The sequence below is a fragment of the Homo sapiens genome, chromosome 4, assembly GCF_000001405.40.
Source record: "Homo sapiens chromosome 4, GRCh38.p14 Primary Assembly".
Lineage (NCBI taxonomy): Eukaryota > Metazoa > Chordata > Mammalia > Primates > Hominidae > Homo > Homo sapiens.
The window spans coordinates 100,813,355-100,825,572 of NC_000004.12; the positions used below are offsets into that span (position 1 = coordinate 100,813,355).

At 36.5% G+C, this 12,218-nt stretch overlaps 1 long non-coding RNA gene across 1 annotated transcript in view, besides 2 other annotated features; it reads right to left on the reverse strand.

The window, feature by feature from the left end:
• Positions 1 to 12,218, reverse strand: part of LINC01218 (long intergenic non-protein coding RNA 1218) — a 68,704-nt gene that overhangs the window by 1,936 nt on the left and 54,550 nt on the right. Inside the window, exons 3-4 of the long non-coding RNA NR_189167.1 lie at positions 2,614 to 2,728; positions 860 to 924 (exon numbers count right to left, since the gene is read on the reverse strand). This is a non-coding gene — a long non-coding RNA (long intergenic non-protein coding RNA 1218). The remainder of the gene's footprint in view (positions 1 to 859; positions 925 to 2,613; positions 2,729 to 12,218) is intronic.
• Positions 9,806 to 9,855: an enhancer, noted in NCBI's record as "active region_21746". NCBI's record gives its function as "activates an Ori minimal core promoter by ATAC-STARR-seq in GM12878 lymphoblastoid cells {active_cell/tissue: GM12878}" and the evidence as "EXISTENCE:reporter gene assay evidence [ECO:0000049][PMID:35858748]".
• Positions 11,226 to 11,395: an enhancer, noted in NCBI's record as "experimental_71492 CRE fragment used in MPRA reporter constructs". NCBI's record gives its function as "activates a minimal promoter by MPRAs in K562 erythroleukemia cells, with activity observed for the introgressed 4:101745822 variant allele {active_cell/tissue: K562}" and the evidence as "EXISTENCE:reporter gene assay evidence [ECO:0000049][PMID:34662402]".

Here is a 12,218-nt window from a genome sequence, read left to right on the forward strand (position 1 = left end):
GAAATACATAGGTTGCCATCTAAGTATATAAAGGAGGAACTCATCTTCTTTGGTGAAAGGGGATCTTAACAAATAACATGAGGTAAAATCATGGAAATAAATTTAGAAATTACTGCAGTAGTCTATGAAAAGATAATGTTAACTTGGGCTACAGCTATGACAGTGCAGATGCCAGGGTGGTGTGTACATTAGAAACATATTTCAAACTCAGAATCTGTAAGACTTTGTGATTAGATAGGGAAGAATGATGAAAGAAAAAGATAGCAAGGCTGCCTCTCGGTGAATAATGATAGCATTTACTAAGATAAAAAATAGTGATAGGGCACAGTATATGGAGGTGGAGTGTGCAAGGATGAGAAATTCAGTTTTGGACATTATATTAGGACCTTCTAGCCATGGAGAGAAAGAGTGTTTATATGAGTCATATAAATGGAATTAAAATGAAGTAAATAGAATTTTTGTCAGCCTTCGAATAAACTTTTAAAACAATAGTCTCCACTATTCTTGAGAAGACTGTGTAAAATGCAGTGGACTAACGCCATGCAAGGCTTTCCCAAAATTTTGAACACCTGATGCATTTTGATAGGTTTCTATATTTTGAATTCCACCTCCCTAAGTTAAAATTTTAAGAACAAGTCTTTCCCAGGCTCTTTTATAGGTAGAGTACAGACATGTGCCTTAAATTCCATCAATCAGATGAATCTCCTGAGACTTTGATTTAGAACTGAGCTCCTGAGAGCAGGAAGCCAGGCATCAATTTTTGTTGTGTGCTGGAATTGTTTTGAAGTCAATGGTGGCAGCAGCAACCAAATCAGGCCAGTTCAGAAATGAGGTTCTATTATTGCTCCTAAACACTTACAGCCTGTTTCTCCAGTTCTCCTGGTGATTCTGAGAACCGTGTAATGTTCCCTAGTAACTTCCAATCTGTTTAAAGAAGAAAGAATTATTGCCTTCAACTAAAACAATTCAGTCTGATTAATATATAGAGTGATAATTAATACTCTATTTAATATATATATATAAACATGTATACTCCAAAACATAAAAATACCACACAGAGATGCTTTTAAGAAAATAATAATTTTAACTTGATAATTAGGTTCATAGAATTTAAAGGAATACCACCAAAAAAAGGAATACCATGTCAAAAATTGCAGGAAATAAATACAGAAGTTAATCCTAATAAGTCTATTTATAGTTCATGTCTAGGAGACAGGAAAGAAAAATGGAAAGATCTATGTATGTAATTCTAAGTTAACAGATGGAAAATTATTACATAACACAAACACTCACACTAGGCTTTCAAATTTTCAATTTATATCGAATCCAGGAAATGGCTGCTGTAGCAAAGCCAACATGTAAAATGTGTGAATGGAATTTGATATGTTGCAATTGATATGCATAAATTAACACATTTTCCAATAGGTGTACTTACCTAAAAACAAGAAATTGGTCTTGCCCAAACTATGATTAAGAACAAAAAACATAAGCTTTTTAAAAATCTAAATGTTCTTATTCCATCTAATTCTCCCCAGCTACACATAATGCTCAGCCAGCCACCTGAAGTCTGCTCAAAGATGACACGCCAGTCTAACAAAATCTGAGGAATTTTCACCAAACCAGCAAATTGGGTTGGAAATAATATTTTGCTGTCTTAAAACCAGATGCAGATTGTCTTAAGAAGAACTAATATTTATTTATTGCCATCTACTTGTTCAACCTTGCATTAGGCAATTTCTTTACAGTATCTTGAAGGGGTGAGGTTTAGAAAAAATTGCCATCACACGACTAATAAAAGGAAAAAATTTGAGATTCGAACAACTGGCTTCAAAGACATACTGTTTCTATTGTATCACACCATCTCTGTCAAGATGTGAAAGTGTCTCTCCTGCTAGCTAATATGCTTCTGACCTGGTCTTGCCCACCAAGACTGCCCTCTTCCTCTGAATATTGAGTAAGAAGAGCCTATTTCCATGGTTCATTTTTCCATCTGTGGTTTGCCCCTCATGCTTTAGTCCTGCCAGGGCTGAGCCTGTTTTCAGCCTTTGATGATTGCTCTCAGAATGATCTCCTGAATCAATCTGGGTTCTCTACCTCACACCCCAAGTATGTCCTTTCTGTATTTTTTGTGTGTGTTTCCTATCTGCTCTATTCAATCTAGATCCCCCTTAGGCACTGCCATAGACATCAAGTTAGATTTTTCACTTTGTCTTGAATCTATTTAAATTTGGGAGGGCAAGGGAGAGTTTTCGATTTGACCTTGATGTTTTCCATTTACCTTCAACAATTTCCTTTCACTTGGACCAATGCTTCTAGAATGCCAACGCTATGGGGCTAGAACTCCCCTAAACTCTATTCTAGAATAGCAAGTATTAAACAATTTTGTGACTGTATGTATTTATACATGTTTACATGTATTGTAACTAATATAATAATGTCTACTAAATGAAGGATCCCCAATGTGATTATAGCATCATCAAATGACATTTATATTACTTTACCTATTACAAAGCACTTTCACATTTATTGTCCATTGTTCATTGTTAGGTAGTGGATATGTGTATTATCCTGTTATTACAGAAAAGCAAAGATCCAAAGTATTAAATGACTTACCTAATGGTACAGAGTTAATAGCAGAGTTAGTAGATGGATCTGGGTCTCAAACTTGAGCTTCTTGATCCCAAACTTTATCTTTCCGGAAAGTAACCAGCACTTATGACAAGTATATCTGCCAGTGAAATTCACACAAATGTATTAGTGAAATATTCAGTTCCTAAAAATTCAGTTTTAATGACTCTTACAAAATAGATATAAAGAACAGAAAAATATTTCAGCATAGGTAAAAAGTTATTAATTCTGCTCTGAAGTGCAAGTCAACAATATCAGCGTTTTTGAAAAGCTCTAAATGTATCTTGACAGTTGTGAGGCTGGTTTTTCCACATGTGCAATTACATGGGATTGAAGCTGAATTATTGACAGACATAGGGGACTAGAAATATTTACATCAATATGTACAGGTCTAACACATCTATCTCACTGACATGAAATAATTTATTCATTTATTTCTTCAACAATAGAACCCAAATTTCCAAATTAATCCCTGAAGAAGTTTATAGTAAAGAGTGTAACTAATAGGGTAGGGCTGTAATAGAACTGAATGTGAGGTTATGAAATTAGCTATTAATAGAGTTCAGAGAAAGAAAGAGATTGCAGTGATCTGGAGTAGGAACCAACAAACTATAACTGATGCATCAAATCTGGCCTACCATATGTTTTTGTATATAAAATGTTTTTTGGAACCCAGCCACACTCATCATCCACTTACTTATTTTCTATGAATGCTTTTGTGCTAGAAGGACAGAGTTGAAGAGTTGCAACAAAGACTTGTTTTGGCCCACAAATTCTAATCTTTACTCTCTGATCCTGTCGAGATTAAGTTTGCTGACTATTGCTGTGTAGTAATTGCAGAAGATTTTATGGAGGTAGAAGAGTCACGCTTAGGTTATTGAGAAGGCTGTAGAAAGGGTTGAAATGAGGCAATTCAGGCAGAGAACTAGAAAGGGCAGAGGCACATTAGTAGGCTGTGACTCAGGATGATCAAAAGATAGTAAAAAGTATTTATCAGCTCAAGTGGAGGACTGATAATGGGAACTGAGGGCATGTACATTTGTACAGGTGGAAGGATACCATTTGGAGGCCTTTTATGCCAAGCTAATTAATATCACTTTTTCTTGAAGGAGTTCATTGACAAACCACTAAAGGTGTAACCCAATTAAATTCCAGTGTTCTTGTAGCCCAGTTCTGAATTGAGTATATTCAAAGAAAATAGTCCAGAAACAAATTTTTTTAATTTCAATTAAAGGAAATCAATTTTTTAGTATTTTTCTAAGAGGATCAAAGGGGATCCCATTTGTAATAAAACCAACCCTTCAAAATTCCCCTTTTCATTTTTCACCTATTTTCTTACTTTCCTTACTTTCTCCCTATCCCTAACTTTTCACCTTCTATTTCTCCACGCCAACCCATGCAACACTTGATATTATCTTCCCCGCAATTCCCTGATTTCCTTGCCCTGGGCTTCATCTCTCCTCCTTTTTTCTGTTCACCCTCCTTCATTAATATATCATCTCTGCTTTATACAATCTTGCAGGCCCTAGAAAAGATTAGACTCTCTCTATAGTAGGGACATTTGACCTTTTTTATACCATTGAATAGACAGTCTGGTGAAGGTGAAGTCTATGGGCCTTAGCTCAGAACAATTTTTTTTTTTTTTGACACAGTTTTACTATGTTACCCAGGCTGGAGTGCAGGGGCACAATCTCAGCTCACTGCAACCTCTGCCTCCTGGGTTCAAGCGATTCTCATGCCTCAGCCTCCCGAGTAGCTGAGATTACAGGCATATGCCACCATGCCTGGCTAATTTTTGTATTTTCAGTAGAGACGGGGTTTTGCCACATTGGCCAGGCTGGTCTCAAACTCTTGACCTCAAGTGATGCGCCCACCTCGGCCTCCCAAAGTGCTGAGATTACAGGTGTGAGCCACCATGCCCAGCCAGAACAATGTTTCTAAATACCTAAAATAAAATATACATTAGACCACAAAGGAAACTAAATATATTGATACATAGTTATCAAAATATTAAAAACAAAACTACATCATAGCAATATAGATTATTTATTAATACCTTGAGTAACAAAAACTAGTGATAAGATTAATAACTCCTATAACTACAAAGTCATGATTAGTAGAAATAGTATGTTGAGATATCTGTAATAATCAAAATATGATATACGAATATCTACGATTTGTTTTCTTTTTCATTAGGAGTAGATGGGTATACCTGACAGTAGTGAATATCTATGATTTCTGTTGGTGAAAAGCCCTAGGAATTATTAATATTACTGTGGTTTGTTGCTACTTACATTTATAATTGAAAATGTTTAATTTTAATTAGAGTTCAGTGAAACCAATGATGAAGTTTTTTTACCTTCTCTGTTAGCTCTAAGTTAAAAACTCTTTAGAGAGTGAAGAAAGAGGAGAAATTAAACAAGCAAAGGCAAAAATGTTTTTAATAGGTATGGGAAATCGGGGAAGGCTAGGAACTCTCACATGGGAATAATTTTTTAACCACTAACATTTCTAAGTAGAAGAATAAAATGATGACAATGGGGCTTTATTTTGTATGCTGACAGCAGCATAAAAAATATACTGGGAAAAGTAGATGTAAATAAACAAGGCAAAAAAGCTTTTGCAATATTCAATACATGAGGTAAAACTACATTGGTTGCATTAAGTTTGGGGGAAAAACAGATATTACTTCAATTTATTAAGTATTTTGTTTAATTAGCTGACATCCTTAAATCAGGAGTAGATTATGATTAAGCAAATGTTTCCAAAGACTATTGAATATTTTGTTTCACAAAATAGTTGATTCCTTTAACTCTTCTATACACACAGAGAGAGAATACACAACTAGAGAAACTAACAAGGTTATTAGAAATCTAGTGCACTGAAATTATTCAAAAGGAGATTGTTAAAAAATTATTTCAAAATATAGGCATTTTGAACAATGGTTTGTTTGCATATCATGAAATAAATATTAGAGTTGGAGTTGAAGTTCCCACTCTCATTTGTTAACTATGTAATCTTAGGTAAATTCCTCTAAAAATCAGTGTTTTCCATTTTCAAAATGAGAACAATACTAATGATATTTATCTCTATAGCCTACAGGGCTATAGAGAGAATAACTACTTCATAAATGTAAAAGCACTAATCATGGTATTGGATACATTATAGTTACTCAATATGGGTTGATTGTATTTGGAAAATAAGAGTGTATTAGATCCATGGCTTGAGATGCTATCATTTAAAGTTATCTTCAAATGAAAGGTCTCCCATGTTCTCCTTTTCTTCTTGGATAAATCATGTGTTTGTTGTCCGAGAAAGAAAGTTATAATTTGGCTACCCATAAAATTTCCTTGATCCTGAGACAATACTAAGGCTATAACCTGTAAACATTCAGAGTATTAGAAAGCTGAATATCTAAATAGGGTACTTTGAAAGAATTTTGATTACATTGTATACTCCCATATTATTGCCTTGGTACAAAATAATTATACTCTTTGAACACAAGGTTTCCATGTACCAACCCAGCATTTCTGAAGCTGTATAGTCTCTGTGAAGACAGAGCTTAAAGTTACAAAATGTGGTTTCACATAGTTCTATGGATAACAAAAGTCAGGGTTAAAATAAGGCATTCAAGTACCATGCAAAAGCTGGCGATGCAGCACAGAACGGGGCGGGAGGGGGCGGCTTAAACTCTACAAAATGTACTTAAAGATGTGCTCAGTTTTATCTGAAAAATAAAAAATAGTAGCTTTTACACTTGTTTTCTTGGAAAGGAAATCAGGTGATCTTCTGCCAAGATGTAAAGAGAATATGCACAATCAGCCTTCAAGACTCTTTCCAGAGGATATGTATTTTGACAAATTAATCCTTTTTGAAAATACATGTGCATTCTGCACTGAGAGAAACGGTTGGCCATTGTTCCCTTGATTGGCCTGAAACCTTTTTCGTGTCAACTTTGTTTCACATTGGTTTCTCTGCACATTTCCTCATTTTGGCTACATCTTTATACCTTCCAGATTTTATAGGTCATCAGCAGCTTCCTGCTGTCCATTACTTCAATTGAGAAAGACAGAACCATATAATTAAAAATTTAAGCCAAGGTGAAAAAATGTATGGTTGGTCTTAGTCTTCTCTGCGTATTAGCCTCCTCGAACTCAGGTACTTTCCTGAGTTTGCTGAGAGGCCCATAGGCCACAGCTGGTCACTCATGTGACTCCAAAAAAAAAAAAACACGTCAAATCCTGTTCTTTAATTTTACCTATTGTCATGCCCCTCTGTTCACGGAGGTAGATTTTCTTTAAAGATTATTCTTTACTAAGACCTCATGACCACAGGTTTGTTACCACTTTTCTGCATTCTCCTTTCCAGCTCGCATTTCAAGAGAATAAGAAAATCCTCATGTTCTTTTTGTAGCCCACACACTGACATGGAAACAACACTATTTTCTTCTGCTCCAAAAAGTTTGCATAATTGCAAGAGCTGTGTGTGGGAGCTGTGTAACCATGCTGCCATAGGATGAAAGGCAAAGGCAATTTTTGTAATTCTGCTACCATTTAGAAGCACAGTATTGTAAATTTGCTGTAAAGGGATCTCGAAAAATATCTAAGACAGATGTTGCAAATTCAAATGCATTTTGAGTCCAGGTAGGTAAAATTATTATGTAATGTTGTTATACATAAGACAACAGCATAAAGGGGCCTCTGGTGAATTTACTGCAGTCATTGAAATTAATTAAACACTGTGCTATCCAAAGAAAACCTGTAAATGAACCGCATTCTGGCCATTGCACATGCCAGCTTTGTGACCCATAACTGGTCAAACTGATCTCCTCCTATTCATGTAACCCTTGGTGAAGAATATACCCTCTCTATCGTGTCTTAGAAAGCAAAGTACTGATATTACATTAATGCTAAGAAAGTTCTATGTCGCACCCAATATCCAAGCCAAGGAAAGGGCCTGCAGGGTTTTTTTTGTTTGTTTTTTTCTGAAACATTTCTCTAGATGTCATCATTTCCATTTTCAAGACACAATTACAGCAAAGATTTTAATCACCTTGGATTTTAGTCTACCACTAAAACTTTCTAACTGCATCTCTACCTTCAAAACTTTATGCTGCACATAACCACAGAAACCATTTTCTTAAATGTAGTGTGATAATACTGTTTCCTGGACTAAAAGCCTACAGCTGACTTCAGTCATTCCTTATGCTCCTTCTAAATTCTTAATCATGAAGAAAGTTCTTTTTGGCACATCCATTTTCAGTTATGCTTCTTCTTCTCTACTCACATTTGGATCTGTCTCTTGTGTTATACAAGCTTCCTTAATACCCAGACACAAGTCCAGTTTCTGAATTTGGGCCCATTTGTACTTACTCTCTTCTCTCAGGAATGTCTTTCCTATTCCTTTTTCATAAAACTATGCCCCTTGCTCCTTCAGCACATCACTCAAAACTCAAGATCTCAACAAAAAAACTGCAGGCAAACTACAAAGACTTTGATCACATAAGCCATTCAAGCATCATCTCAGCACTCCTGGACATATAGAGTTTTATCTATCATAGTTATACACTTAATTACACCAATTATACCATCAGAAGTATGAAATGGTGGCTAAATATGAATAATTGAAGTCAGACTGGGTTCATATTTTCACTTCTTACTAGCTATGTGGCCTTGGTCTAATTATTTAACTCTATTTTTAAATTTTTGTCACTTGTAAAATAAAAAGGTATCGTGAGATTCATTCATTCATTCATTCATTCAGTAAATATTTATCAAGTATCTGCTCCATGACTGGAACTGTTATCATTGTTAATAATACAACAGTAAAAAATAGGAGAGAAAAATATCTAACCTCATGGAGCTTTTGGTTTGTAGGAAAAATATGACACATTAACACAAAGATTCTCACATAGTAAGCACTAAATAAATGTTAGCTACTAACAATATTATTAAGTTAAAATTGTATGGTAACTTGAGGAAATTAGTGAATGTTTCATGGAGAAAATGTAATATGCTTTTAGTGCTACCTCTGCAAGAATTTTGTGAGCATTGAACCAGATGTTACATTTAAAGGACTTAGCATAGTGCCTGGACCATAACTAACAATTAGTAAATGGCCATTGCTGGTGTAGCTATTGCTGTTGTTATAAATGAAAACGTTTAAAGTATTCCCTTCCTTAGTATGGTATAAGAAAGTTTAATTTGCATAGTCACTAATGTTGTTGTTGCAAATGTCCTATGCTCCCTTAGAAAAGGAGAAAATGAGACATTTCTAATGTCTTATTAGAAATGTCTCATGTCTCTAATGTCTCATTAGAAATGTACTTCATTAGAAATACTAGCTCAGTTGGCTGGATGCGGTGGCTCACGCCTGTAATCTCAGCACTTTGAAGGGCCAAGGTGGGCGGGTCACTTGAGGTCAGGAATTCGAGACCAGCCTGACCAACATGGCAAAACCCTGTCTTCACTAAAAATACAAAAAAATTAGCCGGACGTGGTGGCACACACCTGTAATCTCAGCTACTTGGGAAGCTGAGGTAGGAGAATTGCTTGAACCCGAGGAGGTACAGGTTGCAGTGAGCTGAGACTGAGCCACTGCACCCCAGCCTGGGTGACAGAGCTAGACTCTGTCTCAAAAAAAAAAAAGAAAAAGAAAAAGAAAAAGAAAAAACTAGCTCATAGGATTCTCCACTGATGCCATGTTTGTTGCTGATCCTCTCCCTGTAGCCACTTTTTAAACTTATTCATGTAATGAGAAAATTGCAAATTTTTTTAATACCCCTTTGAGTATGTCAGTGATTGTGCATCTATGACAAAATACATCTTCCCTAGACCAAATGTGACAGAATCTGTTGAGCAAAGTGCTGCATGCACAGAAACAGAGAAGGAGCAGGTTCAAGAGAATGTGTTCCAGAGATTCAAGAAACACTATTTATTGGCAATTTTGTCTAGATCTGATTTGTTTAAATCTGAATCATAAGACAGCCTTGATATCAAGTAATTACTTTCCTTTAGATCAAGGTTACTAAGGGAAATAGTCTTGACTTTGAACTACATAGCTGAAGTAAAAAGGGAACTTGTTTTACAGATAAGTAGCCTCAAGGCAAAGGTAGGATGAGAGACAAAAGTTTCATTGATAGAGAAATAAGGCTTGCAAGTGGCCCCCCCTTTAATGCCTTTATGCCTTTTTGAAAGGAATTCTACATCTTGCAAACTAAACTGACTGAACATACCTCTGAGATTAATCACTGGAGTTGTCAAAAAAGCCTTCTCTAAACTATTTTAAGAAGACCTTGGGTATCATCTAACTCATTCCCTCACTGACTCATTTGACTCAGCTGTCACTCATACCATGTAGAAAGAACCTGAAATGTTCCCTCATTTACTTCTTACAAAAACCCCATTTTACTAATGAAGTAAATGAAGTTTAGTAATATTGAACATATTTCTCAAGATTACCTACCTGGCAAGTTGGTAGGTATAAGCCACAATGCAAACCCTGGTCCGTTGAGCCAGTGCTTTATTCTTGTGGCTCACTATGGTTTGGGGATTGCTTTACTAGTATGAGTGTGGGGGACTTCCACCATCACTGCCACTCACTGGAGTTTCAATGCTTTATGCTCCTTTGTTTGGGCATAAGAGTGTCACAGAAGCATGTCCTGATGGTGTTCGTATGGAATAAGTCAGATGAGGGTGGAGCAAAAGCTCAGGATTCTAATGACCTTGAACTCTGTTGCATGTCACTGGTGATGGTAGTGGCTGTTGACACAGGAAAGAGTGAACCAAGGGGAAACTGACTTGCACCAGGCTCTTGAATGAAGTATTGGATGGTGTTGACTCAAATGATATTTGAACAGTCTGCAGAGGATGACTCAGCTCATACACAACTCCTAGGTGCTTTTTCCTGTCCATGTTGCCTATTTAAGTCGGGTGACACTCTAGACCATTGCTATTCTAAGTGCGCAGCTTTGTTACACCTGGGAGCTTGAAAGAAATGCAAAATCTTGGGCTCCAATCCAGGCCTCCTGAATCAGTGTTTGCATTTTAATTAGATTCCCAGTTGATTGATATGCACATTAGATTTGAGAAGCACTCCAGTGTGTTGCTCCTATACAAGCTTGAGATACAAGAAATCTTTGTGAGGCTGTCTATGGTCTCATCTGTATAGGCCTCCTGACAAACTGTCAATCTAGCTGCTGTTCTGGGAACCTGCCTAGTAAACAGAACTGAGGTTTCCACTCCTTTGGAGACAGCAATCCTTCTATTCCCATTACCTACCCCCTGTCTCCTCTTTCCAGCTCATAGGAATTTTTAGTTTCTACTCTGTGTGGGCCCTAGCCTCTTTCTAACGTTTGTCCTAAACATTTCCTCCATTTTTGCTTAGGTCCACTAAGGGCTTAAATGCTTTTGGAATGAAAGAACCTGAGAGATTAGAAATCTACCTCTGATTTCTACCTTGCCTCAGCCTTGAGCTGAAGCATTTAAATAGAACTAATTTCCTACCTGAATTAGGAAAAAATAAAGAAGTAAATGGGGAACATGATTAATTTATCAAAGAAGTATTCAACCACACTTACATCTGATACATATGTTTGAAGCATGTTCTCAACAGCATATTTCTGCTCATGTCATTGCAGTTTGTAGATTTCTATAAACAAAGGCCTATGCCTTTCTACCTTGCATTCACATAGATGTTAGAAACATACCTGGATAATTCTGACTAACTTAAAACACCTCTGGCTCTGAGATCACTCAGCTAGGAAGTGAGCACAATTCCTTACACTTTGAGCTTATGGGGAGGCTGACCAGTCTAGAGAATAGCAGTGAGTGTGCTGATACTCATCACTTACTGTCTGTCACAACTCTGTCACTTACTGCCTAACTGTCACTTATACCTGAGAGAGATTGTTTGTTTGTTTGTTTGTTTGTTTGTTTTTGAGGCAGGATCCCACTCTGTAATGGAGGCTGGAATGCAATGGCACAATCATAGCTCACTGCAGCCTCCAATTCCTGGGATCAAGTGATTCTCCTGCCTCAGCCTCCTGAGTAGCTGGAACTACAGGTATGTGCCACCACACCTAGCTAATTTTTTTTTAAGTAGAAACAGGGTCTCTATGTTGCCCAGGCACTGGTCTTGAACTCCTGAGTTCAAGAGATCCTCCTGCCCAAAGTGCTGGGATTACAGGTATGAGCTACCGTGCCCAGCCTTGAGAGAGTTTTCATGTAAATGTTACTACAGTATCTGTCATATGGCATGCCTGATAAAGTTGAGCTTCTGTTATCATTTCTGAATTACTACTCATGAAACATTGATTTTCACCTGCGGCAACTGAAATACTATGAATACTAATCTAGACTTTTAGTTTTGAAAATTATTATATAAAATTTTTGGTTGGCACCATCATCATAATACTATGTTTATTAAGCATTAACTGTGTGTCACATTCTCATACATTATCATGCATATTCTTCACAATTCTTGGGAGACTGTTTCTATGTGTATCTTGCTTTTTCACCAAATCACCAAACTTATTTCTTCTTTTCCTGGGCACACAACTAGAGACTAGATGGGAAGCCACCTTTGCATGT